Raw genomic sequence first — 18896 nt, 5'->3', positions numbered from 1 at the left:
CTCACACTACCTAATTTTAAGGCTTACTATAAGTTTACAGTAATCAAGAGCATGTGGTACTCGTGAAATCAATGGAACAATACAAAAAGTCTAGAAGTAGTTCACACCTGTGGTGAATAGATTTTTGAAAAAGGAAAAAAGGCAAGTCAGTGGTGCTGGAACAGGTGGACATTCATATGCAAAAATAAAAAAAAGCCTTGGCCCAAAACCCACAATCTATAAAAATTAACCCCAAATGGGTCACAGTCTTAAATATAAAGCTTAAAGCTAGAAAAAAAAATAAGCGAAATTTTTTAGAGTTAGAAAAAGTTTTCTTAAACACAACATCAAAAACTATGATTGTAAAAGGAAAATAATGGATAATATGGGCTTCAACAAAATTAATTTCTACTCTGCCAAAAAAACAGTTACGAGAATGAAAAGACAAGTTACAGGCTAGGGGAGAATATTTGGAAACCACACACATTCTTGAATCCAGAATTTATAAAAAACTGTCAAGCTTCAATTAAGCAAACAGACAACCAGATAAAAAATAGGCAAAAGGTTTGGAAGACACTTCATTAAAGAAGATAAATGCATGTCAAAAAAGTATATGAAAAAATGCCTTACATTAATTATTCATTAGTGAAATGTCAAAACCTCAATGTTATATCATTACACACCGATTAGAATGCCAAACAAAACAAAACCGACCATACTAAGTGCTGGCAACCGCATGAACAAAATGGACCTCTCATACACTGTGGGTGAGAATGTAACATGGCACAGCCACTCTGGCAAAGTTTGACAATTTCTTATGAAGTTCAATATAACACCTTATTGACCTAGCAATCCCACTTCTATACATTTATCTAAGATAAATTGAAACATGTTCACATCAAAACTTGCCAAGAATGTCTATAGCAACTGTATTCATCATCACCAAAATTGAGAATAACCCCATGTCCATCAACAAAGACTAACGGATGCATTCATACAGTGGAATATCAACCTGCAGTCAATAAAAGGAAGGAACTTCTGATACTCATTCCAACATTCATAAATCTCAAATGCATTGGCTAAATGAAAGTAGCCTTAGTGAAAAGGCTACATACTGTGACTGACTACAAGGGAGCAGCAAAAGAAATGTCCAGAATAGGTAATCTACAGGGACAGAAAATAGATTAATAATTGCCAAGGCTTGGGGAGAGAGGTTGAGGGAAATGGGGAATGACAGCTAACCACTATGGGTTCCTTTTGGGGTTGACTAAATGTTCTAAAATTGATTGTGGTGGCCGTGCAACTCTAAGAATATAATACAAAACCCTGAATCATACACTGTAAATGAGTGAATTGTATAGGATGTGAATTATATCTTAATAAAGCTGATTTAAATCTTTTAATGAATGAGAAAATGAATAAATATGAATTATTTTCAAAATTCCACCACACTAAAATTTTAATTTTTTTCTGGAAAGGATTATGGGGATGGGGTATTCAGTCCCCACATTAGCAGGTGAAAGTGTAGATTCTGTCCAGCCAGTTGGTCGAGTAGGAATAGTGAGCGGGCAGTCAGAATTAGCCTTCAAAAACGAAGTACACATAGGGTTTCCAGATAAAATGAAGGGAGCCCAGTTAAATTTAAATTTCAGACAAATAGCAAATAATCTTTTAGTATAAATATATCCCAAATATTGTATGGGACATGACTACTACTAAAAAAATTATTCTTTGTTTACCTGAAATTCAAATTTAAATGGCTGTCTTTTATTTTTATTTGCCAAATCTGGCAACTCTAGGAACTCAATTACTATTTCAAAAAGTGTGTCATCTTAGGAAAAGTATAGATAATCAGCTGGGCGCGGTGGCTCACGCCTGTAATCCCAGCACTTTGGGAGGCCGAGGTGGGTACATCACTAGGTCAAGAGATCGAGACCATCCTGGCCAACATGGTGAAACCCTGTCTCTACTAAAAATACAAAAACTTAGCCGGCGTGGTGGCGGGCGCCTGTAGTCCCAGCTACTTGGGAGGCTGAGGCAGGAGAATCACTTGAACCCAGGCAGCGGAGGTTGCAGTGAGCCAAGATTCCACCACTGCACTCCAGCCTGGCGACAGAGTGAGACACCGTCTCAAAAAAAAAAAAAAAAAAGAAGGAAAGAAAAAGTAAGGATAATCAGATATTTGATGAGGCACATGTATTTTTAGTGTTGTGGTGTGTTATGCAAATGCAATTTGTAAAAGCAATTTGCATTTTCTTTATTTATTCTGTATAAAATACATTTTGCTTCTAAAATGAAGTAACCTGAAGGGATAATGTTTGATGAGTATATTTCATATTTCTTTGATTAAAATAGAGTTCAATGAATCTGCATAATTGCTACAAATGTAACTTGAAGGACATTTGGAGCATTGTTGGTTTTCTGCTTTTTTTGTTATTGAGTGAATGGGAATGACAGGAAGTCTCATTTATCACATGAGCTGTTAAAATATAAAGATCTATATACGTTTTTAGGTGATACAGAATCCATATAATATTCTCATCTCTAATTTACTTGCCTCAAAATTCAATTTTTTTAATCATACATTTTGTGAAACTAAACAGAACAAACTAGTTTTCTTCAAAATGACAAAATTTCAGTGGTAGTGAAAACTGTCATACTTTTCCTATCAATTCCTGAGTATGAATTTTACCTCGCTTATAATTTGCCCAGTAATAATTTTCTAGAGACATTGTTAAAATTCAAATGATGTGTTTTGAATTGTGTATGTTGTTTCTTTATTTTACAACTTACTTTATAATTTTAGGAGCCTCCATCATTGAAGCTGGGACCTCAGAAAGTTATAAAAATAATAAAGCAAAATTGTACTGGCATGGGATAGGTTTCCTAAATCATGAAATGCCTCCAGATATTATTCTTCAGGTAAAGCTAAATTAAGAATCACTTATTTCTATTTTAGAATTTTGTTCTTATTATTTATCATGAAAATGTTAATTTTAAAAATGGAGGCAATATAAGAGTGTCTGAACTTGTCACAGAATCTGAAATCATCTCATTATATTTTTATAGTCAGTACACTGCATGAATTATGTCTTATTTTATGGTCAGTAAACTATGATTAATTATTTACTTATTTATCATTTTAAGATTAGTAAACTAGATTATTTTATTTTCAAGTAAAACATATACATTCCATGTCTTTTCTGTAAGTTGATTCTGTGACCATCCTTTTCCATTGAAAACTTCAGTCATTCAACAAACATTTGTTGAAAGTACTTGTCTCCTAAGTGCCAGTACTGTACTATGTTAAGTGCTATTCAGACCACATGTTCTTAAGTCTAATTATAACAGGAGAAATCTCCAAGTAAGATCCCCACCAAACTTTTCAGTTACAGTCTAAAGGCAGTAGCCATCAATAGACAGCAGAGCACCTCTCAACTTTGATCCATACACCTGAAGTTAGTTGCAAATTTAGAACTTTCAGGGGTAAAACCCACTGATCTTATTCCAGGCTGTAGTTTATATCTACAAAGTAGTAGACCTCATTTTTCTTCTCTACCACCATAACCACCACCACCACCCCCATCTCCATCAAAACCCTCATCTTCATCACCACCACCAGCACCATCTTTCTTCATCACAACCTCCATGTCCATCACCATCACCGCCACCACCATCACTGCCACCACAGCCACCATCACTGCCACCACCACCACCACCTCACCATCTTTCTTCATCACCACCCCCATGTCCATCATCATCACCACCACCACTATCACTGTCACCACCACCACCACCATCACTGCCACCACCACCACTACCTTCATCACCACCATCACCACTACCACTTCAATTATCACCATCACTATCACCACCACTACCATTACTACCATCACCATTACCTCTACCACCACCTTTTTAGGTGATACCATTGCCATGACCACTATTGCAATCACCATCACCACTACCACTTCAATTATCACCATCACTACAACCACCACTACCATTACTACCATCACCATTACCTCTACCACCACCTTTTTAGGTGATACCATTGCCATGACCACCATTGCAATCACCATCACCACTACCACCACCACCATCACTGTCACCTCCACTGCCACCATTATTACCACCATCATCACCACAATGATCACAATGGTCACCATCATCATCCTCACTACCACCATCACTAGCCTTACCAGCACCACCACTCATGCCCTCTAGCTGCCTTATAACAGCTTACAGTCTAGTTAGAGCAATGAAAGAAAACATGCTCATATGATAAAGGGCTCTGATTGATATAAGCATACAGTGCTCTGGAAGAACAACCACACTAGAGGTGCCTTGGGAGTTTTCCTATTTGATAGGCATAAGAGAGATCTGCAGTCAATAGTGATTAGCTGACCAGTATTGTGGGAATGGATTCACATAACTAGTTAAGAGATTAATTCAGTGTTTTCTTTCCAGCCGGATGTCTACCCTGGAAAGTGCTGGGCTTTTCCAGGTTCCCAGGGTCATACCCTAATCAAGCTTGCTACAAAGATCATACCAACTGCTGTTACCATGGAGCACATCTCAGAGAAGGTGTCTCCGTCAGGAAACATCTCCAGTGCACCCAAGGAATTTTCTGTCTATGTAAGAAGCTATCTAAATTTGTCATTCAGATTGGCCTGATAGAAGGTGGTTGGCTAGGAATTAGGGGCTGTCCTCTGAACTAGGACAGATAACTAGTTGTGTCACTTATTTCCTGGACTTCTGCTTTCTCACCTACAAAGAGAGAGAGTTGGACCAAATGATTTATATTATTATTTTTACTTTTATCAAAGTTATACATGTATAAGTAAAAATCAAATATTTCCATAAAGTTTGTAAAGAAACAGTAATTCCTTGTCCCACTTCTCCACATCTCCAATTCTCATTATCCCAAAGCTTCTACTTGCAACAATTTTAGATGTTTATTTGGGTACTTGCCTCCATGTTGGCTTTTGCCATTATTTCCTGATTTTTCAGTTTTGATTATGACATCCTCTCATTGAAAATGAAGATTAACTCTTTTCCATGGCACTTCCATCTTCCCAAAATATTTATGTCTTAATTTAAAAAACAAAACAGGTTTCTGGAGATGTAATTCCCATAACAATTAATTCACCCATTTAAAGTACACCCTTCAGTGGCTTTTAGTGTATTCACAGAGTTGTGTATCCATCACCATAATCAATTTTAGAACATTTTTCTTACCCTAAAAAGAAACCCCATACCCCTTAGCCGTCACCTCCTATTCCCCTAGTGTACTCCTCCAGCCCCTGGCAACCACTGGTCTACTTTGTCTCAATAAATTTACCTATTCTATACATTTCATATAAATTGAATCATTTATAATGTGTGATCTTTTGTGAATGGCTTCTTTAACTTTGCATACTGTTTTCAAGGTTCATTTATGATGTAGTATGTCTCAATATTTCATTTATTTTTTATTGCTGAATAACATTTCATTGTATGGATATATGACATTTTATTTATCTATTCATCAGTTGATGGACATTTGAATTATTTTCATTTTTTTGGTCATTATGTATAATGCTTCAACAAACATTCATGTACAAGTTTTTGTGTGGACATGAGTTTTTGTTTTCCTTGGGTGTATACCTAAGACTGGAATTCCTAGATAGCATGGTAAATGTAGGTTTAACATTTGAGGCACTGCTAGAAGACTGTATTATCTTTTTGTTCAAGCAATACTCAATGTTTTCACAGTGACTATGTGAACAAAACAGCTCTCAGTTGAGCTATTTAGTGTACTTAAATACTACTTTCTTCCATTTTTTTAAATGTTTCTGAGTGTAATAATTGCTTTACATTTTTTTTTTCTTGAGACAGGGTCTCAGCTCTGTTGCCCAGGTTGGAGAACAATCACAGCTCACTGCAACTTCAAACTCGTGGGATTGTTTTTTAAATTTTTTAGTAGAGATAAGGGTCTTATTATGTTGCCCAGGCTGGTCTCAAACTCCAGGGCTCAGGATCCTCCCGCCTTGGCCTCCCACAGTGCTGGGATTACAGACGTGAGCCACTGGTGCCCAGCCTATTTTTCTTTAATTTGCTTAGTTTTCTGCATTCCTATTACTAAAACTTTCCCAAATTCTTCTTCAGAAGTACAAATATTCCCCCATTATGTTGATTCACATCAGATAACTTATAAATTTCTTCCTTTCTTTATTCCTTCCTTCACTTTCTTTTCATTTATTTTCTTTTTTTTTTCCCAAGATATCCCTCTGGCGCCCTCAGCATTTTGCTCCAGCCTTGTTAGGTAGGCCTGATGCACAACTGTTGTCGTGGGATTTCACTCATGCATCCTGAGGATTCAACTTACTGTCTAATTTATTATTTTTAAAAAGTGTTTCTTCTTTCCCTTTTCTGCTTTTTGTTCCACCTTCTGGAAGATCATATCAATTCACATTTTAACCCCTCTACGGAAATTTTCATTCCTGCTGTCATGATTATACTTTCTGAGACTTCTTGTTTCTATACATATTCCCTTTTTTAGAGCCTATATTTTTTTCTTTTATGAAGGCAGTACCTTCTCTTATGCTTCTGAATATATTAACTGTAGGCTTGTCTCATTTTCTTCTGCTCGCTTCCGGGTCTGGATTTCCTAGCCCCACTTTTCCCCCTTGCGGGTAGCGTCTCTCTGTTTCCTGTACAACACTTTTCTCCCATGTCTGTGATGCTTGTCACATGAATTGCTAGGCGGTGCAAAGCCGGCAGGAAGCTTTGCGCGCACGGTGGGGCTCATCCGTCGTGAGTTTGCAGCGGGAATCATCTGGTCGGGCCATTTCGTCGGGAGTCACAAGTGTGCTATCAGGAGAGCTGACCCTGAGAGGACTCCTGCAGTGCACAGGAGGTGCCAGCCTGGCCCACCACACCATGAGCTGCTGGGGAGAGGAGGGCCGCGGGGTCACCACTTTGTGCAGAGGCCATGCTCTTGTGGGCGGTTCTGGGGCGGCGCCGGCAGTGGTCTTAGAGATGGGAGGAAGAAGAGAGCCCTCTGCTGGGCCAGGCGGGGCTGGAGGGGCGTGGAGGCGTTGTAACTGCTTTTTGAAATGACTGTTAGCTAAGCCGCAGATTTGGGCTCCTTTCCCCCACACTCCCCCTCACGCTTTCACCCACACGCTCCCCACATGGACACCCTCCTCCGGCCTTCCTGGGAACCTGCCGCTTAAGTCCTGCGCTGCTGGGTCCACGTACAGCCCGAGTAGTTTGTGTTCTTTCTCTCCAGGCGCCATTTGGCCATCTTCACTTTTTGGTTTTTCTGTTTGTTTGTTTTGGGGTTTGTTTTGTTTTGTTTTGTTTTGTTTTTTGGTTTTACTGTCTACTCCCACTTTTGCCTTATATAGGTTTATGCCTTCAATTATGATCTTCCCATCTGGAGGAGGGCCCTGGGTTAAACAGCCTGCCTTATATGTCACCCAAATGCCTCTACATTCCATATCTGGAGTTTCAAAACAAAGGGCTGCTGTCCTTTCATAGAAGCCCACACCACCTGCAAGTGGTGTCTCTGAAAAGTTGAGTTTGAGCAGCTAAGTTCCATCTCAGAAAGGTGAACACGTTCATTATTTAGACAAATTATGGGTGAATCCCAAAGGCAGGAATCCTTTAGTAATAAAAACTGCTTCTCATCATTTTCTTCTACATTAAAGAATTTATGAACCAAGTAAAATTAAAACAAGGTGATAAAAGGACTGGGCGCAGTATCTGCTCCTGTGATCCCAGCTCCTTAAAAGGCTAAAGCAGGAGGATCACTGGAGCCCAGGAATTCGAGGCCAGCCTGGGCAGCATGGCCAGACCCCGTTTTTTTGGTTTGTTTTGTTTTGTTGTTTATTTGTTTTTTATTTTAACTTTTATTTTAGGTTCAGAGGTATATGTGCAGGTTTGTTATACAGGCGGTAAGTAGTAATACCCAACAGGTATTTCTCTGCTCCTCTCCCTCCTCCCACCCCCCACCCTCAAGTAGATCTCAGTGTCTGTTGCTCCGCTTTGTGTTCATGTGTTCTCATTATTTAGCTCCCACTTACAAGTGAGAACATAGAGTATTTGTTTTTCTGTTCCTGTGTTAGTTTGCTGTGGATAACGGCCTCCAGCTCCATCCATGTCCCTGCAAAGGACACGATCTTGTTCTTTTTTATGGCTGCATAGTATTCCATCAGATCCTGTTTCTTAAAAAAACCCAACAAGGTGATAAAGGAGGTAGAAATAAAACTAGCACTCCTGTCTTAAGCTAAAGAGAATATATGAGGCTTGAGTCATGTGTACATATGAAGGGGTGGCCTGCCCCTCCCCACCTGTGGGCGTTTCTCGTCAGGTGGAACGAGAGACTTGAGAAAAGAAAGAGACAAAGAGACAAAGTATAGAGAAAGAAGAGTGGGCCCAGGGGACCAGCGCTCAGCATACGGAGGACCCGCGCCGGCACCAGTCTCTGAGTTCCCTTAGTATTTATTGATCATTATGGGGTGTTTCTCGGAGAGGGGGGATGTGGCAGGACAATAGGGTAATAGTGGAGAGAGGGTCAGCAGGAAAACATGTGAACAAATGTCTCTGCATCATAAGGTAAAGAAAAAAGTGCTGTGCTTTTGATGTGCATATACATAAACATCTCAATGCCTTAAAGAGCAATATTGCTGCCAGCATGTCTTACCTCCAGCCCTAAGGCGGTTTTCTCCTATCTCAGGAGATGGGATATTCAATCGGGTTTTACACCGAGACATTCCATTGCCCAGGGACGAGCAGGAGACAGATGCCTTCCTCTGATCTCAGCTGCAAAGAGGCCTTCCTCTTTTACTGATCCTCCTCAGCACAGACCCTTTACGGGTGTCGGGCTGGGGGATGGTCAGGTCTTTCCCTTCCCGTGAGGCCATATTTCAGACTATCACATGGGGAGAAACCTTGGACAATACCTGGCTTTCCTAGACAGAGGTCCCTGCGGCCTTCCGCAGTGTTTTGTGTCCCTGGGTACTTGAGAGTAGGGAGTGGTGATGACTTAACAAGCATGCTGCCTTCAAGCATTTGTTTGACAAAGCACATCCTGCACAGCCCTTAATCCATTTAACCTTGAGTTGACACAGCACATGTTTCAGCCAGCACAGGGTTGGGGTAGGGTTACAAATTAACAGCATCTCAAGGTAGAAGAATTTTTCTTAGTACAGAACAAAATGGAGTCTCTTATGCCTACTTCTTTCTACGTAGAGACAGTAACAGTCTGATCTCTCTTTTCCCCACATACATATATAATTGTGAGTACATTATGTAACCATGATGTATCCAACTCTTTTAATAAAAATGTTATAGTTTGATATTAATATTTTTATTATAAAATGATTTAATGAATGTACTGTTTATTTTGCTGTGTTACAATTTAAGGAACCTAACAATAAACTTCAGATTCACAAAATAAATTAGTTTGCACCAGTGCGTTATCCTCTCACAAATCTTCAATTTGAAGGGTAGAGAAGAACAAAAAGCACAAGAGAAATTGCATACAAAGAAAAAAATCAGTGTTTTTGTCAGTCAACGGGAGCTTACTTTTCAGAGGAAATTATTTGTGTGATCAAAATCTGGCAATGGGCTTATGTTTATCTCATTTTGGTAAACATCAGTTCAGTATGGCGACGCATTTTTATTTTATTCAAAGTATGCTTATTGCAAATATAGTTATCAGGTCAAAGTTAATGTTGGGATTTGCTCTATATGTATGTATCTGTCTTCCATCTATCAGCTGTTTGTCAATCATCTATCTTCTAACTATCTATCTATGGATCTATCTATCTAGCTCTCTATCTATCTATCTATCTGTCTGTGTGTCCATCCATCTTCTATCCTTTTAGTCAGTCCCGTGATCAGCCTTGGGCCTCATTGACCCCTTGTTAAATATCCTCTGGGTGTATAGGTTAGTACTGGCATGATCACAGCACTGTGCCCCTGGTGGACACACAGAGATATTTGGTGAATTGTTGGTTCTTTTTGAAAACACAACTGCATCCATTCATTACAATCTCTATATCTGTTGCTTTCTTTATAGGGCATCACAAAAAAATGTGAAGGAGAAGAAATTTTCCTAGGTCAGTTTATATATAACAAAACAGGAACCACCGTTCAAACATTTGAACTCCAGGTAATGTATGCTCTGGGAAATGATATGAGTAGCTCTATCACTGGGAGAAATTTGTTGGGATTGCTTCATGTAAAGTGACGTATGAGAATAATTATGACAAAAGCGTGAGTTACACAAGGCTTATCTGATCTTCAATTCTGAGCTCGAAGTGCTTACGAGGATTTTAATGCAAAAGACAGACAAATGCAAAAGCAGTTTCTAAGTCAAATTCTTCCTCATCTGCTATCACTTTTTTATAATATATATATTTAATTTCTTGGTTCTTTCTTAACTATTCCATTCCCTGAATACTATTAAGTGTAATAGTTACTACCTCACCTTGCTTGAGTATAGGGGAGGAAGATGATGGTACAATATGAAGTGGACAGAGGCAGAGAGAAGCTCAAAGGAATAGAGGATAAAGATTTAATATCAGATAATACAAGTAAAACTCCTAACCCAGTGGGAGAAAATATCAACTGTTAGCTTATAAATCCCCTGAAACTCACCAAGGCAAATGAAATATATCCTCATTTTTTAAATTAGCCACAGGGAGTAACTGAAGAGATGTAGAAGACATTTTATATCATGTAAAAACAAGTGTTTTATGACACTTTTTGGCCAAATAGTGAGAAAATAAAGGTAAAACAATACATATATGTTAGAAATGAGCATATTTGTAGAGCTTCATATTTGATTATGTATTCATATGCATTTGGGCTCATATTATCTGTTCTTATAGTTGGCTTCATAGTTCTGGTTTTTAGACAACAAGCCCTCTTGCCCCTGCTCCTCGGCACAGCCAGCAAGGAGTGTAGAGGGGGGAAACAGCGGAATAGAGAGGTCACTTGGCCGCCATATTATCCTCCTCTCCCTCTACTTATCTTTTCATAAGCTCTTTATTCCAGTAGCTTATTTTCTCATTCATTAGACTGATATTTGAAAATAGTTATGTTAGAAAAGAAAAAGTATATAGGCCAGGCGTGGTGGCTTACACCTGTAATCCCATCACTTTTGGAGGCCTAGGCAGGTAAATCATTTGAGCCCTGGAGTTCAAGACCAGCCTGGGCAACATGGCAAAACCCTGTCTCTACAAAAAATTAATAAATTAGCTAGGTGCGGTGGCGTGTGCCTGTAGTTCCAGCTACTCGGGGGTCTGAGCTGGGAGGATGACTTGAGCCCAGGAGGTAGAGGTGGCAATGAGCCATGATCATGCCACTGCATTCCAGCCTGTGTGACAGAGCCAGATCCTATCTCGAAAAAAAAAAAGTATATAATTTAAAATTATATCAGTATTCATTGGGATTCTTTGAGATGAATTTCGTTATAAGGCATTGATTTTCTTTTCTTTATTTTCAGCATGCAGTTTCTGAATATTTATTATGTGTGAAACTTAATATCTTTAGCAACTGGGGACACCCGAAGTATACTTGTTTATATCGATTCAGGGTCCATGGCACACCAGGCAAGCACATCTAGAAGAGTTGGTACAGAAGGCCATGCCACATGTCCAGAATATTCAAGAATGCTTATTCTCTTAGATGATACCGCACCCATAGGAATTGAGAATTGGGAGTGGGAAGAAAACCTCAAAGTGGTTCATACTTGCCTGTAAAAAGTAAATGCATTTTACTAATAAAAAAATATGGAAGTAAATTAAATATCCTTGCCATAGTTTAGTCTTTAAGGATGCTTCATGTTGTTAGAGCATTGAAAACTCATTTTGTATTTAGAAGAAGATAGTCTCATCATCAGTCTTTCCCATAATAGCATCTTTGCCTTCACGGACTCATTTATTTACACCAGGCATGGATGTCCACTATCACTACTATCATTTAGTGCTGATCTGGAGGCACTGGTCAGCGCAATTAGATAGGAAACCAGTAATTTTTAAATTGGAGGTAAAAATTAGTGAGGAGTTCTGACCATGACCATTTGCAGATAATTTGATGAATTCCTTGAAATGCAATAGAGTCTATTTTAAAAGAATTAGAAACAAGGAAAAACTGTTGTAAGTTCGTGGATGCAAAATTCCCATATATAAATCAATATCATTCATAAAAACAACAGGGTATAACTTACAAAATCCATTATTATCTTTAGATAATAAACATCAAATAAAAGAAGAAAGTAAAATATCTATGTGAAAAAAATCCCAAACAGCAGTGAATGACTAAAAGAAGACTTAAGGCCAGGCACAGTGGCTCACAACTGTAATCTTAGCACTTTGGGAGGCCAAGGGTTGGGGGATCACTTGAGCCCAGGAGTTTGAGACCAGTCTGGGCAACACAGCAAGACCCCATCCCTACAAAAAATTTAAAAATTAGCCAGACGTCTTGGCACATGCCTGTAGTTGCAGCTACTCAGGAGACAGGTGGGAGGATCACTTGAGCCCGGGAGGTTGAAGCTTCAAGTGAGCTGTGTTCGAGCCACTACGCTCCAGCCTGGGCGACCCTGTCTGGAGAAAAAAAAAAAAAGAAGACTTCAGTAAAATAAATGGAAAAATAGATGTACCATATACTGTATCCTTCAATGGGAAAACTCAACTGTCAAGATGTCAGTTCTAAGTTAATTTATAAATGTAACTTGATCTCAGTTAAAAAGCAGAAAAATATGGACTTTATGGGACAGTTATGAGATATTAAAGAATTATCGTTAAAAAAAATAATTTGGGCTGGGCACGGTGGCTCACACCTATAATCTCAGCACTTTGGGAGGCCAAGGTAGAAGGACTGCTTGACTCCAGGAGTTCAAGATGAGCCTGGGTGACATAGTGAGACCCTGTCTCTATTAAAAATAAAAAAATTAGCTGGGCATGGCAGTGCACACCTGCAGTTCCAGCTACTTGGAAGGCTGAGGTGGGAGGATCACTTGAGCCCAAGAATTTGAGGCTGCAGTGAGCCATGATCACTGTGCTCCTGCCTGGGCGGCAGAGCAAGACCCTGTCTGAAAAAAATAAATTATAGGTGTCTGTATGATAATGGTACTAAAATGATGATTTTAAAATAAATCTTTTTATTTACATATTTAAATATTTAAAGTTGAAATGATATATGTGGGATCTTTTCCATAATAACATAAGAGGAAGAAATGGATAAGAAAATTCATGAAAAAGATTGGCCATGAAATGATCATTGAAGTTGAATGCTGCCAGTCCATGGAGCTTCATTATATTATTCTGTCTAGATTTATATATGTTCGATATTTTCAATTAAAAAGTTTTTTAAAAATTAAGACATGTATATATTTTTAAAAACCCAAAGGGGGGTATGTTTTAAATAAAATTGATTCTAAAGTTCATATGGAAATATAAACTTAGCAAAAGGACAGCCAGAAAAATCTCTGAAAAAAAATCAACAAAAAGAAATAGCTCTATGACATAGGTATAAAACAATAGTTAAAACTGTATGATACTGGCAAACAGATAGACCAATGGAACAGACTGCCGAGACCAGCTTGGTCGGGGAGACCCTAACCCAGCGGCGCTAGAGGAATTAAAGACACACACACAGAAATATAGAGGTGTGAAGTGGGAAATCACGGGTCTCACAGCCTTCAGAGCTGAGAGCCCCGAACAGAGATTTATCCACATATTTATTAACAGCAAGCCAGTCATTAGCATTGTTTCTATAGATCTTAAGTTAACTAAAAGTATTCCTTATGGGGAACAAAGGGATGGGCTGAATTAAAGGAATAGGTTGGGCTAGTTAATGGCAGCAGGAGCATGTCCTTAAGGCACAGATAGCTCATGCTATTGTTTGTGGCTTAAGAATGCCTTTAAGCAGTTTTCCGCCCTGGGTGGGCCAGGTGTTCCTTGCCCTCATTCCGGTAAGCCCACCACCTTCCAGCGTGGGCGTTATGGCCATCATGAACATGTCACAGTGCTGCAGAGGTTTTGTTTATGGCCAGTTTTGGGGCCACTTTATGGCCAGATTTTGGGGGGCCTGTTCCCAACAACAGACAAGTCCAAAAATATATTTACATGTATGTGGAAGTTGGGTGTATGATAATGGTAGCATCTCAAAAGAGTATGGGGGAAAAAAACAAATGGCTTGGGACAATTATCCAGTCATTAAGAAAATAAAATTCCATCCATATTTCTCACTTTACAATATGACAAACTCCCAGTATGGTAAAATATATACAAGTAGGTAATAAAACCATAAAAATATTAACAAGGAAACTTGGGATAATTCCTGTATGGTATTGAATAGAGGAAGGTCTTCCTAAATATGACTCAAAATTTAGAAGCCACAAAAGAAAAAAAATTCCACTATATAAAAATCAAGAACCTCTGCATGGCCAACAAAACTTAAAATGCAAAAAATATTCACAACTGACATTATAAGGACCAATCTTTCCAATATATACACAGTCCCAAGAAAGCAATTATAATATCAATAACCCAATAGAAAAATGGCCAGTAAACAGATCATCTAGAGACGCACATGAAAGATATTCAAGCTTATTTACTTAAGAAAAATGGCAAAAATTATACTGTACCATGTTTCACTGATGAAATTAGAAAGATCCAAAAGTTTGATAATGTTTTATTCCAAGGCTTTGGGGAAACAGGATCTCTCACACGTTGCTGGAAGAAATGCAAATAGGTATAACATTTATGGAGGGAACTTGGCCTATCTATAAAAATCGAGATGAATATATCCTTTGACTAAAAAACTTACCATGTGCAAAATGCCGTATATAAAATGTTATTCATCAGTAATATTTCCCAGGAGGAAATAAGGGGGTGCAGAAGGGTAGGGATGAACCTCTCCTTCCTTTGCCACTTTAGCTTTAGCTGGTAAATAAACATGCTCTGTAACCTCTTCTGTTACTTCACTATACTCTCCTTCCTTTTCCACTATGAAGCGTTCCTACCTCTCTGCCTGCCTTTGAGTCTCTGCTGAAATGCAAGTGATAATGGCTGACTCTGAATAAATAGGCTTTGCCTGTTCCATTTGGTTGGTCTTCATTTATTTCCACACTATCAATTGTTTTCCTGAAGGTCAAGTGTAAATAGAGCTGGTCCAGTCAGCAGGAGCATGTGGGTCACTGGACACTCAGCAATCCAGTGATGCAGATTCTCATCAAGAGTGTGAGGTAGGGCATGCCATGGCCAACATTGCCAATTCTATCTGTCCCCATCTTTAAAATGGGAATAATAGGCCGAGCATTGTGGCTCACACCTGTAATCCCAGCACTTTGGGAGGCTGAAGCAGGCAGCTCACCTGATGTCATGAGTTTGAGACCAGCCTGGCCAACACAGTGAAACCCCATCTCTACTAAAAATACAAAAAATGGTCTGGGTGTAGTGGCAGGTGCCTGTAATCCCAGCTACTCGGTAGACTGAGGCAAAAGAATCACTTGAACCCAGGACTCAGAGGTTGCAGTGAGTCGAGATTGCACCATTGCACTCCAGCTTGGGCAACAAGAGCAAGACTCCATCTAAAATAAAATAAAATAAAATAAAATGGGAATAATCATACTTATTTTACGTGTGTTTATATTATCTAAGTGATGATATCAGTGCAGAGTGCTATAAAATGAGAGCTATCTATCTCACCCTACTGATCAATAATATTTAAATAGTGCTTTAAAGGCATCCAATAAATGTTGATCACCCTCCTCTTGAGTAGGGGCTGGTCCCCTTCCTTAATCCCCATCACTCACCACCATGCCTGACACTTCTCATGTGCTCCACAAATCTTCATTTAGAAAAGTATCTATGGAATTTATTGAAGAATTTTTTTGACACCTAAAAGAGGAGAAGAGTCTTTGAAGAGCTGCTTAAGCAAAAACCCATCTCTTAGAACAAGTACAGTTGTCAAAAGACATTCACTCATGCCACCTCTAGGGTATGCTTTCCTTCATTTTACAGTTTTCTCATGTTAAAAAAAGAAGACAAATACTGCCTTTCAAATTTGATGCGTAACATGTGAGCTAGTCACGTTGTTTCCCTTGGGTAATTTTTCCAACATTAACTGCTAACAACAGGGCTGCAAATTGCTGTCTCTTCCCCCAGGGACTAGAGAAGATGAGTAAGTACCTGAAAGAGACTGGCCAAATACTTACCTAGACAGAGTTTACCATCTGCAGCTGTAGAGAGGTTATTTCCCTTACTTCCAACTATATGCATCCTGAATGACATTTTATTTGCACCACTGTTTATTTCAGTTTCTAAGACAAGATTAAGGCATTTACCTCCCCACTAAACAAACTTAATGAACAGCGTGAACACTGTTTCCCAAATCATTGTGTGACTGAATTACTAATCCCTGACATTTGGCAGTTCTTAAGTCAGAAGGCAATTTACTGTAGCTAGATGAGAACATGAATATACATTGCATTAGAAAACTCAGTGGTACATGGGGCTTCTAGAAATCTCTAGAGATCACATTCCTTGCCTCAAAATCATTTGGAAAGTAGAGAAGTAGTGTCAATATACTTAATTGTCAATTCTGAAGTTAATGAATTAATTTGCTAAACCTGTTTAAGAAAATTGCAAGAGCACATAAAAGATTCCTTTCTTCTTCCAAGAAAAGATAATTGCAGCTTTATTTTCTATTTCTTGAGTCAAATTCCTATATTATTTGGGCTTTTGTCCATGCAGAATGTATCATATCACATCTTCTTAGGAAGTTTAAAAAATTGCTTTATCAGTTTTTATGACATAAAATTAAGCAATTTACACTAAAGATCAAGATGTTACAAAACATTGTTTACAAAGTTTATTTAGATACATTCTTTAATTATATTCATTTATCTACTAGCAGCCACTTTATTTAATGTGATGCTCAACTCTTCAAAACTCATTCATGAGGAAATTAAAAAACAGGCTTTTTCCTGCAGATCATATGGGGCAAATAAAAAATGTTGGCATGGCCGGGCTCAGTGGCTCACGCTTGTAATCCCAGCACTTTGGGAGGCCGAGGCGGGCGGATCACGAGGTCAGGAGATCGAGACCATCCTGGCTAACACGGTGAAACCCCGTCTCTACTAAAAATACAAAAAATTAGCCGGGCGTGGTGGCGGGCGCCTGTAGTCCCAGCTACTCGGGAGGCTGAGGTAGGAGAATGGCGTGAACCCGGGAGGCGGAACTTGCAGTGAGCCGAGATTGCGCCACTGCACTCCAGCCTGGGCGACAGAGCGAGATTCCGTCTCCAAAAAAAAAAAGAGTTATGCCAACATTTTTTTTTTTTTTTGAGACGGAGTCTCGCTCTGTCGCCCAGGCTGGAGTGCAGTGGCAGACCTCTGTTCACTGAAATCTCCGCCTCCTGGGTTCAAGTGATTCTCCTGCCTCAGATTCCTGAGTAGTTGGGATTACAGGCACAAGCTATCACGCCGGGCTAATTTTTGTATTTTTAGTAGAGACGGGGTTTCATCATGTTGGCCAGGCTGATCTCAGACTCCTGACCTCAGATGATCCACCCGCCTCGGCCTCCCAGAATGCTGGGATTACAGGAGAGAGCCATCCTGCCCTGCCTGTTGGCATAACTTTGAAAGTGATCTATTAAGTTTGGTTTGGCAAACACTCGCATATGACAATGAAGATTAGAATTTTGCTTCATGTTATAGTCTTAAAATAGGCAAAAACTGCAATTTTTGTATTTTGCACCTTTTTATTATTATTACACTTTAAGTTCTAGGGTACATGTGCACAACGTGCAGATTTGTTACATAGGTATGCATGTGCCATGTTGGTGTGCTGCACCCATCAACTCATCATTTACATTAGGTATTTCTCCTAACGCTATCCCTCCCCCAGGCCTCCACCCCCCAACAGGCCCCAGTGTGTGATATTCCCCTCCCTGTGTCCATGTGTTCTCATTGTTCAACTCCCACTTATGAGTGAGAACATGCGGTGTTTGGTTTTCTGTCCTTGTGATATTTTGCTGAGAATGATGGTTTCCAGCTTCATCCATGTCCCTGCAAAGGACATGAACTCATCCTTTTTTATGGCTGCATAGTATTCCATGGTGTATATGTGCCACATTTTCCTTATCCAGTCTATTATTGATGGACATTTGGGATGGTTCCAAGTCTTTGCTATTGTGAATAGTGCCACAATAAACATATGTGTGCATGTGTCTTTGAAAATTATCTGGGCCTGGCGCGGTGGCTCACGCCTATAATCCCAGCACTTTGGGAGGCCGAGGTGGGCAGATCACCTGAGGTCAGGAGTTCGAGACCAGCCTGGCCAACATGGCGAAACCCCGTCTCTACTAATAATACAAAAATTAGCCGGGCATGGTAGCTTGTGCCTGTAATCCCAACTACTTGGGAAGCTGAGGCAGGAGAATCCCTCGAACCCGGGAGGTGGAGGTTGCAGTGGGCCAAGATCACGCCATTGCACTCCAGCCAGGGCGACAGAGCCAGACTCCGTCTCAAAATCATCATCATCATCATCTGCATTATCATTATCTTGATTCTATGTGTCAAGTTAAAGACAAGGTTCTAGTCTATTTGCAAAGGACATTAAAAATAACAATTGTTAACACAGATAATCTTTAGTCTTTGAAAAACCAAATTAGATACAATTGTTGCTTCATTTCCCCCTTTAAAATTTTTCCTTTAAAAAAAATCCTAATGACATTATTTATGCTAATAAGAATTTTATCGGATGTAATAAAGTTCGTCTTGAGGCAAACTGCAGAATTATCACTTAACGTCAGTGTTCTTTAAGCTTCCCGACTTTACCAACTAGCCAGTAATATGTTCAATTTTTTTAGAAGTCATTTGAAACAATTTTCAGAACCTTAATCCACCAAGA

General features: G+C 39.3%; 1 protein-coding gene and 1 long non-coding RNA gene across 7 annotated transcripts in view, besides 3 other annotated features; one reads left to right on the top strand and one right to left on the bottom strand.

Moving 5' to 3' along the window:
• Positions 1 to 11784, top strand: part of SUN3 (Sad1 and UNC84 domain containing 3) — a 48755-nt gene extending 36971 nt beyond the window's left edge. For 4 of the 6 annotated variants that reach the window (XM_017011930.2, NM_152782.4, NM_001030019.2 and 1 more), the window contains 4 exons: positions 2786 to 2901; positions 4450 to 4617; positions 10052 to 10144; positions 11483 to 11784. In XM_017011930.2, coding sequence (XP_016867419.1) covers positions 2786 to 2901; positions 4450 to 4617; positions 10052 to 10144; positions 11483 to 11602 — 497 coding nt within the window. In that variant the 3' untranslated portion in view covers positions 11603 to 11784. Of the gene's footprint in view, positions 1 to 2785; positions 2902 to 4449; positions 4618 to 5859; positions 6042 to 10051; positions 10145 to 11482 lie in introns of those variants that run through there. The other 2 variants (XM_047420114.1, XM_047420113.1) reach the window with 1 other exon arrangement.
• Positions 6758 to 6987: an enhancer, noted in NCBI's record as "active region_25986". NCBI's record gives its function as "activates an Ori minimal core promoter by ATAC-STARR-seq in GM12878 lymphoblastoid cells {active_cell/tissue: GM12878}" and the evidence as "EXISTENCE:reporter gene assay evidence [ECO:0000049][PMID:35858748]".
• Positions 8173 to 9013: an enhancer, noted in NCBI's record as "OCT4-NANOG-H3K27ac hESC enhancer chr7:48029516-48030356 (GRCh37/hg19 assembly coordinates)". NCBI's record gives its function as "activates a minimal SCP1, AML or CMV promoter by ChIP-STARR-seq in primed H9 embryonic stem cells {active_cell/tissue: H9 hESC(primed)}" and the evidence as "EXISTENCE:reporter gene assay evidence [ECO:0000049][PMID:30033119]".
• Positions 9014 to 9855: an enhancer, noted in NCBI's record as "OCT4-NANOG-H3K27ac hESC enhancer chr7:48028674-48029515 (GRCh37/hg19 assembly coordinates)". NCBI's record gives its function as "activates a minimal SCP1, AML or CMV promoter by ChIP-STARR-seq in primed H9 embryonic stem cells {active_cell/tissue: H9 hESC(primed)}" and the evidence as "EXISTENCE:reporter gene assay evidence [ECO:0000049][PMID:30033119]".
• On the bottom strand, positions 11487 to 16490 carry LOC105375270 (uncharacterized). The gene is made up of 3 exons (XR_927251.3): positions 15797 to 16490; positions 14627 to 14714; positions 11487 to 12581 (listed from the first exon to the last, which is right to left on the bottom strand). It is a non-coding gene; the product is annotated as an uncharacterized LOC105375270 (long non-coding RNA).
• Between the last annotated feature and the right edge of the window lie 2406 nt (positions 16491 to 18896).

This window comes from Homo sapiens, chromosome 7 (genome assembly GCF_000001405.40).
Source record: "Homo sapiens chromosome 7, GRCh38.p14 Primary Assembly".
In the NCBI taxonomy this organism is placed as follows: Eukaryota; Metazoa; Chordata; class Mammalia; order Primates; family Hominidae; genus Homo; species Homo sapiens.
This window is presented reverse-complemented; position numbering and strand designations above follow the sequence as displayed.